Source organism: Homo sapiens, chromosome 6 (genome assembly GCF_000001405.40).
Source record: "Homo sapiens chromosome 6, GRCh38.p14 Primary Assembly".
NCBI classification, from domain to species: Eukaryota; Metazoa; Chordata; class Mammalia; order Primates; family Hominidae; genus Homo; species Homo sapiens.
In genome coordinates, this window is record NC_000006.12 from 693,466 (window position 1) to 708,309 (window position 14,844).

At 45.1% G+C, this 14,844-nt stretch overlaps 2 annotated features.

Annotated features, from left to right (window-relative positions):
- Positions 1,317-1,825: an enhancer, noted in NCBI's record as "H3K27ac-H3K4me1 hESC enhancer chr6:694782-695290 (GRCh37/hg19 assembly coordinates)". NCBI's record gives its function as "activates a minimal SCP1, AML or CMV promoter by ChIP-STARR-seq in primed H9 embryonic stem cells {active_cell/tissue: H9 hESC(primed)}" and the evidence as "EXISTENCE:reporter gene assay evidence [ECO:0000049][PMID:30033119]".
- Positions 7,866-8,385: an enhancer, noted in NCBI's record as "H3K4me1 hESC enhancer chr6:701331-701850 (GRCh37/hg19 assembly coordinates)". NCBI's record gives its function as "activates a minimal SCP1, AML or CMV promoter by ChIP-STARR-seq in primed H9 embryonic stem cells {active_cell/tissue: H9 hESC(primed)}" and the evidence as "EXISTENCE:reporter gene assay evidence [ECO:0000049][PMID:30033119]".

Here is a 14,844-nt window from a genome sequence, read left to right on the forward strand (position 1 = left end):
TTCACAACGATGGGCCCTGCATCGGGTCAGAGGACCCCTCCGGAACAGGGGGATGCACAAGGTCAAGAGAATGCATGGAATCAGAGGGCTGCACCAGGTCAGGGGGGCTGCACCGAGACCAGAGGAAGCATCAGGTCAGGAGGATGCACTGGAGTGTGCATCCCCAGGGGGCCACACTGGGTAAGGAGGATGCACCAGGTTAGGAGGCAGCACTGGGTCAGAAGGATGCACTGGAATCAGGGGACTGTACCAGGTTGGGGGGCGTGCCTCAGGTCAGGAGGAGGCACTGGGGTCCGGGGGCAACATTGAGTCAGGGGCAGCCCTAGGTCAGGAGGATGCATGGGGTCAGGGGGCTGCAGGGGTTTGAGGGCTGCACTGGGTCAGGGCGCCATACCAGGTCAGGGGATGCGCAGGATCGGGGGAGATGCCCGGGGTCGTGGGATGCTGGGGGTTGGGGGGATGCTCGGGGTCGGGGAGTTCTCGAGGTCGGGGGATACTCGGGGTCAGGGGGTTCTCAGGGTTGGGGGGATACTTAGGGTCAGGGGATGCTCTAGGTTGGGGGAAGCTCGGGTTCAGGGGCTATGGCCAGGGAGGAAGGACAATCAGGAAAGTGGGGGTAGCGGATTCTGGAAGCTAAATAGTTTCAGGAAGGAGGAATTGATAGCCAATGTTCAGAAGTACTGTGAGGCCAAGACTCCAGAGACAATTGAGTTTGGCATATGCCAGTCATTGGCATCCTTGACAAAAGCAGTTTCAAAGGAGTGTGGGGAAGCTACATCTCGTCAGAGTGGACTGTGAAAAGAATATTAAGTGAAGTGGAAAAAAGTAAGTTTCAACAACCTAGGTTGGCAGATTTAGCAATAAAAATACAAATACCCAGTAAAGTTTAATTTCAGATAAACAACAAGTAATTTGTAGTATAGATATATTTATCACTAAACTAATGTTGCATGGGATATACTTCTACTAAAACATTGTTTTGAGAGGTGACAGCGTGCTGGCAGCCCTCACAGCCCTCGCTCGCTCTGGGCACCTCCTCGGCCTTGGCACCCACTCTGGCTGTGCTTGAGGAGCCCTTCAGCCCACCGCTGCACTGTGGGAGCCCCTTTCTAGGCTGGCCAAGGCCGGAGCCGGCTCCCTCAGCTTGTGGGGAGGTGTGGAGGGAGAGGCGCTGGTGGGAACCCGGGCTGCGTGCGGCACTTGCGGGCCAGCGCGAGTTCTGGGTGGGCGTGGGCTCAGCGGGCCGGCACTCGGAGCGGCCAGCCAACCCGCCGGCCCTGGGCAGTGAGGGGCTTAGCACCTGGGCCAGCAGCTGCTGTGCTCAATTTCTCCCCGGGCCTTAGCTGCCTTCCCGCGGGGCAGGGCTGGGGACCTGCAGCCTGCAGTGCCTGAGCCAACCCCCCCCGCCATGGGCTTCCGTGCGCCCGAGCCTCCCCGACGAGCGCTGCCCCCTGCTTCACGGCCCCCAGTCCCATCGACCACCCAAGGGCTGAGGAGTGTGGGCGCATGGCTCGGGACTGGCAGGCGGCTCCACCTGCGGCCCCGGTCGGGATCCACTGGGTGAAGCCAGCTGGGTTCCTGAGTCTGGTGGGGACTTGGAGAACCTTTATGTCTAGCCCAGGGATTATAAATACACCAATCGGCACACTGTATCTAGCTCAAGGTTTGTAAACACACCAGTCCGCACCCTGTGTCTAGCTCAGGGTTTGTGAATGCACCAATCGACACTCTGTATCTAGCTACTCTGGTGGGGACTTGGAGAACCTTTGTGTCCAAAATCTGTGTCTAGCTAATCTCGTGGGGAGGTGGAGAACTTTTGTGTCCAGCTCAGGGATTGTAAACGCACCAATCAGCACCCTGTCAAAATGGACCGATCAGCTCTCTGTAAAATGGACCAATCGGCTCTCTGTAAAATGGACCAATCATCAGCAGGATGTGGGTGGGGGCCAGATAAGAGAATAAACGCAGCCTGCCCGAGCTGGCAGTGGTAGTTTGCTCCGGTTTCTTTCCACACTGTGGAAGTTTTATTTTTTTGCTCTTTGGGGTAAATCTGGCTGCTGTTTATACTTTGGGTCCACACTGCCTCTATGAGCTGTAACTCTCGCCGCGAAGGTCTCTAGCTTCACTCCTGAACCAGCGAGATCACGACCCTACCAGAAGGAAGAAACTCCGAACACATCTGAACATCAGAAGGAGCAAACTCCAGATACGCCGCCTTTAGGAACTGTAACACATACCGCAAGGGTCCGCGGCTTCATTCTTGAAGTCAGTGAGACCAAGAACTTACCAATTCCAGACACAGTTTTAGTATTTGTTAGTAAAAGTACGGCCCCAATATTGCACGGGACATACGTATACTAAATTGTTACTATCTGAAATTCACATTTAACTGGATGTTCTGTATTTTCATCTGGCTACTTTGACAACCCCTCTGAGGAGTTGTGTGACAAAGGGAGCAGAGATGGGCGGTAGTTGCTAGAGAGGCATGGTATCAAGGAAAAAGTCTGTTTTAAGATGGGAGCTATTAACAAAACATGTAAAGAGGGAACCGCTGATGCAGGAGAGAGGGAGCAACTGCAGAGCAAGTCTTTGAGAAAGGTAAGAGAGGGTAGGACCTGTTGCACGAGGGCAGAGGTTGTTCTTAGGAGCCACCAGAGTTGAGCTGTGTAGTAGGAGAGTGAGCGGAATGTGAAGCTATAGCTGTGGGTTGGTAGACATGGTGAGGAGAAAGTGAGAAAATACTCTTCTGGTTGCTTCTGTGTTAACAAAGGAACCAACAAGATCATCTGTGAGCAGGGGGTGGGGACGAGGGAGGACTGAGAAGGGGTGAGATTGTTAACTTAGACATTGTAAGGCGAATTGTTAAGGATATGTAGCCAGATTGCCAGGCAGGGCAGAATGCCCACTTGGGATGTGTGGTCTTAAGTCTCAAATGGAACCAGTCGGCCTGCTTGTGTTGTTTTGGCTGCTCTAGTGCAGGCAGGGAGTTAGAAAATTAGTTGTAGCTGAGATTGGAGTTTGACACAGAAGATGGAGCAGGGAACAGAGGAGTTCGGGTTCTATGCAGAGAAATAACATCAGACAGGATCATGGGGTTTAAGCTGGTGTGACAGGATATTTAGATGGGTTTTTCTGGTTATCCTGGAATTGGCCACTTGAACTGGCAAAGAAGGCAGATAACTAAGGTGACCACATGTTCCACTTTGCGTGGGATGACTGATTTGTGTCTGTTATGAAGGCTTAATTATTGAGTGCCCTTTTTACTGTCAAAAGTGTTCCTTTTAGACGCTATATGGTCACCCTAAAGTCTCCCCGCACTATAGAGAAAGCCCCCTGGCCGGGCGCGGTGGCTCATGCTTGTAATCCCAGCACTTTGGGAGGCCAAGGCGGGTGGATCATGAGGCCAGGAGGTTGAGACCATCCTGGCTAACATGGTGAAACGCCGTCTCTACTAAAAATACAAAAAATTAGCCGGGCGTGGTTGCACGTGCCTGTAGTCCCAGCTACTTGGGAGGCTGAGACAGGAGAATCACTTGAACCCTGGAGGCGGAGGTTGCAGTGAGCCGAGATTGTGCCACTGCACTCCAGCCTAGGCTACGGAGTGAGACGCTGTCAAAAAAAAAGAAAAGGAAGAAAAGAAAGCCCCCAGCAATTGGGTAAGACACCTCTTGAAGCTTATGAGGAATTCACTCAGCTGTTTTAATCTGGGTTAGACGCCTCTTGGAGCTTATGAGGAATTCACTCAGCTGTTTTAATCTGGGTTAGATGCCTTTTGGAGCTTATGAGGAATTCACTCAGCTGTTTTAATCTGGGTTAGTACCTGTTGGCTCGAGGCACCCACGAGCCTGTGCTTGCTGCTGTCAGAGTGGAGCTGAGCATCAGTGTGGAGTTCTTGGCGGAGTTGGGCTGCCCTCAGGACTATATGTGACCAAGAGTATGTGCCTGCTTTTGGTGCAGAAATTCCCAAAGGTAGGAGACCTGCTGGAGAAACATAAGAGCTGGATGGAGAGGAGGGTGGCCAGGAAGCAGCTGCATAACCATGCTGTGGATATCACAGCCTCTCAGCTCAAGAACTCACACATGCTCCTCACACAAACAGTATTTGGCCCATCTATGTGTCTTACACAAATGCCTGCCCGGCAGACAGCATCCGCAGCAGAGCACAGAGCAAATGGGATGATTCAGCTAGGGCAGGTCAGGCAGTCTCTGCACAATGGGCCTGTGAATGGAATGGCCATTCACAGGGTTGGAGGCTACAGGGACCCACAGAAAAAGGCAGATCTAGACAGTGCCTCTGCCCTCTCCAGCCGTAGAGGCCAATGGGCAGCCCATGGTATGGTGGCTGCCGTCTCTCGGTGGCAAGTTGATTTCCATAGGCCCAGATGCATATTCTGGGTTTGGGTTTGGGTTTGTCTTCCTTGCTTGTAGAGCCTTCCAGGCATGACTACCCAATTGCTTACAGAATGTCTTGCCTTATCACAGGATTTCCCATAATACCACCTTGGACCAAGCACCCTTGTAAGAGCGAAAGAGGCAGACAGAGGGGACGTGACCGCAAGCTCCACTGGTTCCACCATAGATCGCACACCCCAGACTGCCACCCTGATAGGACATCAGCATGGCCCCACAAAGGCACAGCGAACGCTCCAGCAGAGTTGGAAGCTGTGCTGTGGGATGCAGTATATATTCAGAGCCTAATATCAGTGTATGGTGCAGCATCCCCAGTAGCCAGGGTCCTGGCCCCTGGGATGTGCCGAAGATGCTCTCCTGGGTGACACAGGGTTCACTAAATCTAAAAGCCTCTCCTTACTTGGGATCCTCATGGATCCCAGGCAACAAAATTTGGTCCTGGTTATGAGTAGGAAACGGGAGGGAGGATTATTTCTGGAATGCAGGGGACTCACTGGGCATCTTTTCCTTGGCTGGTGATACCAGTAAACTGGCAATGCAGCAACCCTGGCCTGACAAGGAATGATAACCAAGGGCTCAGACCTCACAGGGAAGAAGGTCTGGGTCACCTCGTTGAGGAAGCAGCCTGGGCCACAGAAGTGCTAGCTGCAGGTGAAGAGAACGGAGCCGGGTGATTAAGGAAGAAGATGATGAAAATCACTGTAGCCTTAGAACTAACTGCAGCAGTGGGCATTATAGCCCAACCTATTGACCCTCCTGAGGTGGGTTTTTTCCCCCAGTAAAGTATGACTGGACACCATCATGAGGAATCAGGGCCAGGACAGAGATCTGTAGCCGTGGATCCGCCATACCAGGCAGGATGGTAACAGAGGCCATCAGTGCCCATCCAGATTCCCCCAACTGAAGGCTGCTTTCTGGGAACACCTGCATCTCTCTTTGTGCTTGAGGGATTTCTTTTTGGAGCAGAGCAAGCTGGAAGCCCTAGAGAGTTAATTCAGAAGAAGGCCTCGGCCAATGGCAGGCAAAGAGTTGGTGTGTAAATGCCCTGGCGGGGGTAGCTTGGCTGGTTGCACGTGCCCCATTGCATGGCAGAGTCCCAGGGAGCTGCTCCAGTCTCCCTCGGGGAAGTGCCCCATAGCACACCTTTACTGGCCTCCCCACTCCCCTCCTGCTCTTTCCTGCTGTCACCTCCCAAGTGAAATGCTAGCCCTGGATCAGCTTCTGGGGGAATCCAGTCAAGGTTGTTATTATCACAGACTAAAACAACCTATACTTATTACAATTCAAAGATATATATATTTGTTATTAGAGACAGGGTCTCACTCTGTCACCCAGGCTGGGTTGCAATTGTGAGATCCTAGCTCACTGTAGCCTTGAACTACTGGGCTTAAGGGATGCTCCTCCTCAGCCTCCAGAGTAACTAGGACTACAGATGCGTGCCACCATGCCTGCGTAATTTTTGTTGCTGTTTTTTGTAGAAATGGGATCTCGCTGTGCTGCCCAGGCTAGTCCCGAACTCCTGTGCTCCAGCAGTCCTCCCATGGCATGAGCCACCACACCCAGCCTCAAATATCTATGTGCTGAATTGCACACTTTTTAGGGAAGTACATCCTGGAACAAAAAAGTGATGTGGAATCTAGCATGACTTCATTTTCCTCTCCTTTTTATCAGAGGATGTGTTGAAGTGCAGCCAGTATGCAATCACTTGACTGTCCCCAGCGTCATCAATTATAAAGAGCAAGGGGGAAGCTAGGAAATGTGAATCTGAGGCTTGGCAGCAGCATTTGAAAAAAATAAAGTGAGAAATCCCTGGCAGCGGCACGCCCCCTTCACAGTGAAACCAAACCCTCTGGGTCTCGGTGACTTGCCGTTTCCCAGGTTAGGTGATCCTGCCATTAAGCCAGGATGTATGGGCCTTGAGAACACACAGATTAAAAAAATAAATAACACTGTATTCCTGAAACAAAAACACTCAGAATAGGAAAGAGACTCTTTTGTTAACATAAAGAGTACTGGTGGTGTTTTCTTTCTTTTTTCTTACATTTCTGGTCCTAATTCCAAAGCCAGCTAGCAAACATTAGTGCAGTATATGCAGAAGTTGGCAGCAAATAAAATCATTAAACCTAAAATTGCAGTGGTAGCTGTTAGAGCGATTGAATATCGTTGCATAGCTTTGTGTTTTCAATTCTGTCTCAGGTTTTGTTTGACCTGGAGAGAAAGAATAACTCTGAAGCATGAAATCCCTTTGCAAACAGTCTTTAGAAGTACTAGGAGAGACACAATTCCCTGTTCTTAGATTTTTTTAATGTTAAATCAACACCTTTTGTGTTCTGTAGTGTGTGGCACATCAGTGTGTGGTAAGCCATAATTAGTACAGAACCTAACCCTCAAAACTACTGTAATTTGCTGTATCTTAGACATCCTTTTTACTGAAGACTAATGATTATTTGGTCTTCTGTTATTCACAGGCTCTCAACTCCATGCTTGCAGATTCCTGCCTTATTCACTGTTGTAGATACCACAGAGCTTCCTAGCACAGTTATTCAATACATCAGGCTGCCCATTCAGTAACAGCACTCACCACAACCTGTAAATACAGTATTATCTATTTGTTTTCTAAAAATGTTTCTCTCCCCTCACTAGAATGTAAACTTAAGAGGAGGGATGCTGTAATGCTCATCCATGCCTCACACATAATAGATGCTCAACAAATACGCGTTGCCTCAAAAACAAAAATAAGAATACAGTACATTGTGATAGTAACAGAGTTGGAGGAGATGCCTGTGTCCAGTTGTCTAGTTCAAAATATGCTGAGTGGCCACTTAAAGACACAAAATTATCAGCAAAATTTGATATGTACACATCTTGACAATAAATGGACGATTGAGATGTTTCACCAAATACCACCCAGCATTGCCATGCTTTGCTGGAGCCTTCTGTGTTTTAGGATTACAGGACAATTTGAAATTCTGCAGGACTGCAAGTTTCAACTCTGTTTTAGCAATTCCTGGATTGGACCTATTAGTTAAGGAAGCCCCTTACATCCTTTTGTTTTAACCTTAATCGTACTATGGTGTGCTCCTAGCAAATGCCTTTAAGTGGACTTAACCATCTTCTTTTATGTTGGCTTCAGAGCTTTTTATATTCAGAGCTCTGTATATCAAAAGTCCTTAAAATAGTCAAACGTCTCCAATCAATTTTACAGCAAAACAGAGCTCTGTGGTTTTCTATTTACTTGCTATTTGCATATTTTAATAAGAAAATTGTAAATAAAGCTGGTTCTACAGCAGGGATATGGTATTACAATAGTGTTACTCCAACCATATGGCCGTGCTGCCATCCAGCACAATAATGCAGATGTGTTTTGCACCTGTGTTTATATCTGGGCGTCTCTGGCAGTGGGCTGTGTCTGTAGGTGGTCCAGAAGGAAAGGAGAAATTGAGGAGAGGCACACACTGCCAGAGATATGAGAGCCCAGTACCTGGAGAGAGGGAACAACTCAGTCAGAATGTGAAAATGTCTGTGCTTAGTGAGGACCTGGGTTCTCTCCCGGCCCTGCCAGCCCTGCCCTGTGCTGCAGAGGGCAGGAATAACCTAATTATGTGATTTTCTGTGAAAAAGGATTTAGATCTCTTTATGTTCTAAAAGAAGGATTTCTAACGGACCGCATGATAGCATTTTAACTTAAATTGCTAGCTGGGAGTGGGTGGTTGATTTTTTGTTTTGGGGTGGTTTGTTTGTTTTGTCTTGTCTTTTGGAATTCTCCATTTGAAGGTCCTCTTTATTCAGTGGGAACAAGGCCAATTTGCATTTTGTCAGTGATGTCAGCAGTAATAGGAAAGACATGGGAAATGGCACCATCTTCCCAGTTTTACCCACTGATGTGATGGTGTGCAGTGTGGACTGAGTCTTAGGGCAGCAGCCGCTGGCTTGCCACTCTGCACCTCCACTGTCCAGGCATATCACCCCACCCGGAGCAGAAGCACTAGCTGCAGCTGCACGTCGGAGGGAGACACGGTGCTGGCCTCTGGCCTTTGCTGCAGGATCTGAGCCTTGCTGACACTCATTTATGAAGGCTTCCCACTGCCCAGGAGCATCAGGATCGCCTTGCATATGAAACGCGGTATAAAGCCTGTCTTTATACCTCATTTCTTTTGATCTAACATGACATGAATTTTATCTGAGTTTTTCATTGCTCCCTTGGTTTTGCACAAACCCAGTAAAATATTTTTCACTCCTTAACAGCAGATTTCTCACCCTTTGTGTTTGGTAGGTTTCCCCTAAGATGCCAACTGAGCTGCGTTCCCCTCTCAGGCACACACTATAATTTCTGAAGGTGATGGCATGCACCGGAGTGCCCACCAGTTGTGTCCTGGCCACACTCCAGTGGAGGTCCCTGGATGTCCTGCCCCCTGCAGGTAGTTGCCTCCTGTGAGCTCATCTTTGAACTCTCTGTGGTACTAAAGGACGAGGAGTACATGCAGGATTGAAGATAATTTTCAGGACACACTTTAGCCAACAGTCTGAACCTTTGTTCTTCCTGACTGAGCCCTTGTAACAAAGATGAGAACATAGAACATAGCCAGTTAATTTGAGTTTGAATTTATTTTTTCACACCTGGTGAAGAAAATAATAAAAATGTTTAGCAGTGAGAAACTAAAAATGAAGAAATGAAAATATCCACAGCCCCTGAAAAATCAAGAGTTGACTATAGGACTGTTGGTTTGAAAAAAAAATTACATTGAAAATTCCAAACCTTACATTCTGGATCCTGCCTGATACTGACCCTGATTGTTTGACCTCTTGAGAGTTCCAGTTGTCTCATTTGAAAAGTAAGATAGTTGGATAGGAGAATCTCAAAAATCCCTTTAAGCTCAAAAATCCCATGACTGCACTTTTCTTTTTCTTTCTTTTTTTTTCTTTTTTTCTTTCTTTTTTTTTTTTTGTGGGAGAGTCTGGCTCTGTCGCCCAGGCCAGAGTGCAGTGGTGCAATCTCGGCTCACTGCAACCTCTGCCTCCCGGATTCAAGCTATTCTCCTGCCTCAGCCTCCCAAGTAGCTGGGACTACAGGTGTCCACCACCAAGCCTGGCTAATTTTTTGTATTTTTAGTAGAGATGGGGTTTCACCATGTTAGCCAGGATGGTCTTGATTTCCTGACCTCGTGATCTGCCTGCCTCAGCCTCCCAAAGTGCTGGGATTACAGGCGTGAGCCACCGCGCCCGGCTGCACTTTTTAATAAACAACGATTCTGCAGCAAGTCTCGGCTGAACTGTGGGGCCTTCTCTTCTGGCGCCTTTCTCTGGCCATCTGCGTAGAACAGGACATATGGGTGGTGGTAGTGGAGTTTTTCCAAATAACTGTATACCAGCAGCGGTCGTAGATCACACTGATTGTTCTGCTATTCAGTTAAAGGGTTTTTTTCTTCCAGGTGCTTCATTCTTTAAATGTGTTAGCTATAGCGCAATCCATTTTAAACTGGGAACTTGGTTACTTTCTCTGATCTTAAAGCAGATTGCTGGTACTTTTCTGTTTCTATAACTTTTTGCTCCTCTGTCCTTTCTACTTCTACACCTCCCCAAAAGCCTCTGCTCCGTGAACTAATGATGTTGCTTTTTTGTCCCTGGCTAGGTTATGGACATAGAAAGCCAAACCACAATAGGTTAGATGTGAAGTATAGTGATAAAGAGGAAAACAATATAATATTAAATATGTGGGTTGCATTTTCAATTTTGCATTTTTATTGAATTCCTGTTTTTCCATAAAGTAATTCTCCCTGAGCTCGGCCACATTTTTTTCTGAGGCCGGATATGTGAGTCTGTGTTGATTTGCAGCATTGTTGTGGTTTATATATATGTTTGACAGGATGCATATTCATTCCACTAACATTCATTAGAACTCAAATGAATGCACAGACATGAATGATAGATTTAAGCACACGTATCTGCTTTCCTTCTGAGAAACAATAGCTTTTCAGGACTCTGTAGACTAGTGAGGATTTTCAACAGAGTTTTATCTGAGAACAAATGGAGAATCTCTCTTCAATTAAATAATTAGAATTAAATCCTAGAAAGGCCACCTCAGTGGATGGTAAACCTTTTTGCAGACTTCATTTTGTGAAAGAAAATGCTCGTAATTGCTGCTTGTTCCTGCACATTGTTTTGTTTTGGATTTGTTCAAATATAATTGTTTCTGCTGTTAAGTCACCTCCTGTTTGCAAGCATGTATTTGTTAAACACATTGAGAAGGAAGTTTTCATTTTTTAGGAAAATCAGTTTTGAACTAGAATTCATAGACCATGCTTTCCTTGGTGACAATGCTGGATTGCTTCAAAGCACTGGTCCTCTTGCGCTGCCACGTGGAACGATGACTAGGCACTGTGTGATGAGGCACGATGCTGATTAGTATCCAGAAAAAAAGTCCTAAACGCCATGTAGCTTTCTAAGCTCTTGCTTTACATAAATATGCTGGTAACTACTGACTCTCAGTTTTGGCAGTGATTTTGCTAGTAAACATATTTTCGGGCCAGAAACCCTACAATGTAAAGTAGGATATTGCCCCCATTCCCCAGCCAAAAAAAAAAAAAAAAGGGAATGAAATGCATGGCTGTATCAGCCCTTGCCCCTCAAATGGTTTTTGGCATGCTTTAAGAGAAATAAAATATAAATTAATTCTCAAAGAATTTAGGATGCTCTTCCAGAAAGAGACGAGTCAGCTTCCCACATCAAACAGGGGAGTCTTTCACATATTTAGTCCATCTTCTATATTTACAGAATTTTCACATTACTTTCTTTTCTTGGTTTACAACAATTCAATAATTCTTTTCTTTAAAGCTGTCTAAGAAATCTGTGTTTCACAGATCCTAGAGGCAGTGCAATTCTCGACAGCACTTACAACAAAGGTTTATTTTCACACAAATTGTCTAGCTACTAATTCAGAGAGGTCTTCTGTGTATGCACATTGGAGTAATTTAAGCTCAACTGTTTTCAAGTCAACAAATATTGACATTTGCCTGTTACACCCCAGGCAATGTTCCTTTTTCTACACGTTCTTTCTTGCTTTCTATAAGTTAGGCTAATCCACTATTAAAGTACAGACACGATAATTCAAATTATTATTGAAATATTAATTTTCCAAAAACAAAACAAGGAAAACATATTTTGAATGGTGGGAGGTGTGGACAATAAATGGAAAATCCAGGTTTGTCTCCTTTTTATTTTTTGTGCCAGGTCTTCTTTGCTCAGTGTTTACGATTGGGATTGATACAAGTCAGTTACCTAAGAAATTCTGTTGGAGAAACTAGCCACTAAAACTCTGACGAATCTGTCTTTCCTGCTTATTTTTCAAGCACACTCTAACATATTTAAATCAGCAAATTTCTAGCAGAACTGAATAAAGTCTGTCCTATTGGTCAGGCTTATGTGTAAACACAGTTATGTAAGCAGTACTTGAGGGCAGAAATTGTCCCAGGCACAAGCTATTGTCGCAACTAATCTTTTTACAACTCAAGGATGAATAAACTCACGACTTTAAAATGTTGTGCCCCATAGTCTATTAATCTTTCCATCTTTTAATGCAAACTTATTCATACTGGAAAAATTATTCACATATACATTCACATACACATTATTGAGACTTCTATTGGAAATATGTAGAAATACTACGTAGGCATTTGTAAACTTCAAATGATAAGTATACAATTAAGTACACATCATGATGACTATTTTTGTAAAATGATTATAGCTAATTATTCAAAAGTGTTTGAAATCTGTATGTACATCCTGATTAGGAATCTAATAACTACATATTAAAATTTTAAATTATTAGGAATGTTATGTTTCACAACATTTAATGAACCTAAATAATTTAGAATACTGACCTTATAAAACATGTTTTATAGAATACAGTTAGTTTTTAATGGAATCAAGGCTTTCTAGTTTATTCAATGAAATTTCATGTTTTCTTAGCTTACAAACTAATAGCAACATCAATTTAACTTTTATGAACCTAAGCTCCCTTACATTTTAAAGTAGAAATTAGAATATTTCCCATTGTAGAAGCATTTTGTGATGTAAAAACAGTATTTAGTGAAGTACTTCCACGAAGTCTCAGCAATCTGCTTATTTAAATATGAAATAACTAAATATAAAAACATAGTAATTTTGATCAGTGAGCTTATGCTGGCATCCTTTTTGCATATTATTAATAAATTGCTAATATTTATAATTTAAAATAGTTTCCAGTTGCTGAGGAGCACTTAGAGATGAAAGCCTTCTTTCGTGTATAAAAATTATGGGAGTCCCAGATGTGAAAATTGCCATCTATTTTTTTGGTTACGGACACACCCCAAGTTCTCCTCAGGCCATGGTAAACATAATGCACAGAGATCCTGATGGCCAGTCCAGGAATGCCCCACGTCCGGAAGCACTGAGTACATCATGGCCACCAGAACATTCCACAAGGTTGAAGCGAGCACTTCGGTCTGCAGATGAGGGTGGTGACAGACATCAATTAGGAAATTGATGTCAATTTAAAAATTCCTTTTGCATGAATAATTCATCTTCAGTTTATAAGGATTATTATTCCTGTGCCTTTTTATTTCCTGAAAGTCACACTTCAATATTAAGAAGAAAGAATTTTACAAATCCAAAAATGACTGACAGCAGGCAAGTGAGAACTATTAGTTAACCGATCAAAAAAAAAAAATGAGTGGAAGTGGACAGAGACGAAAACTGGCAAAAAACTGATTATAAGTTTCTCTATGCCTTCCTCCCTTCTTCTAGCCCACCTTTATATTATTTTTTAACAGAACAAATTTTCCTGGGAAAACTAGAAGTCTTTTTATTCTGAAACAGTAACAAGTAACTTCCATGACTTTGTCGTTTTAGCTTTCACTCTTGGTGAAGCTCAAGGCAGTGGCAGATGAAGGCAGGCCTCCTGCAGCTGCCAGTCACTTTTCCCTGCTCAAAGGGCCTCCCACTTCATCATGGGCAAGCCTCACCTGGCAGGTAGCCTAAGGGAGGGCTGTGGGTCACTGCCCACCACTGTCCTCTAGCACATCCACACATGTACACATGCATACCCCACCCCCTGCATACACACACCTGCATTCACATGCATGGATACACACATGCACGTATGCAAGCACACGTGCACATGCACACACCACCCCCCACGTACACACACCTGCACTCACAGGTACACACAGATGCAGACATGCACACCCACCCACATACATGCATACATCCACACAGCCCTGCATACACGTACACATCCATGCATACACCTACACATCCATGCATACACGTCCACATGCAAACACTCCTACATCCTCACGTCCACACTCACATGCACATACGCACAGATGCATGCACATACCCACACACATGCACACATCCACGTCCACATCCACACCCACACACACTGTTAAGAAAAGATTGAAAACTTAAACTGAATTTGGAGGTAGCAGCTACTAATAAGAGTTGCAGTGAGCTAACTGGGGACAGGTCCCACTGGAAATCACAATGGTGGGTGTCAGGAACTGGGGGGAAGAGGCTGCAGGGCTCCGGGCCTTTAGGATGTTTAGATTCCATTGTATCTTAGCCTCGTTTTAACCTACCTTGTATCATTCTGTCTCATCAATCATAATTTAAATATTTGTTTTCTCTACATCTCTTTGATCTTTTCTGTAAATTGTGGTCTTTGACAGAATTTTATGTGAAAAGAATGCTGACAGTGGCATTCGAATTTTTTAAAAAATTCTCTCTGATTAACACATTTCTCTTTTGTGGCTGAACCACTCATCATAGGAGGATTGTTCACTGGTCCTTTGCTTTCAACAGCTCTTAAGATCATTTGTGGATTGTGTAACTGGAGAATTGTGTTTGGGAGGGTTTCGGCTTCCTGGCCACAAGGCATCTTCTCTCCCATCTTGCAGTAAGTTGACCGTCTTTGCGCTGGACGATCTGCAGGCCTGGTGGTCTGAGAGGTACCTTGCTCTCTTAGTTATAGTGCCTCTTTCTGCGTGTGTCACGAGAAAGTGTTCAGAAGAACCAATGTATTTTCCCAAGAAAAAGAAATCAGGAACCTGGTGTATTTTGCCTGATGCTTTAGGTAAACTAATCCAAATCAGGTGAGTTGTCTGTTGTTTACAGTTGAATGTCAAACAGAGAAAGCTGATACATAGATCCAATAACTCTGTTATCCCACATTGTACATAGACTCCAACTTTCTGTCTAAGTCGTTAAGTTTCGAGGGAAAGCAAAGATGAGAAGGTAGTTCATACTTAGGCTTTCCTGTTTTGTTTTGGGTTTTTTTGCGTACCATTCAGCAACCTTGTCCCTCCTTGGTGTGCTCTGCAGGTGGTGGCCCACCCTCTGTCATATAAATCCTCCCGCCTCGACTTTGCATTTTGTGAGGCATAGTTGTGAAATTTT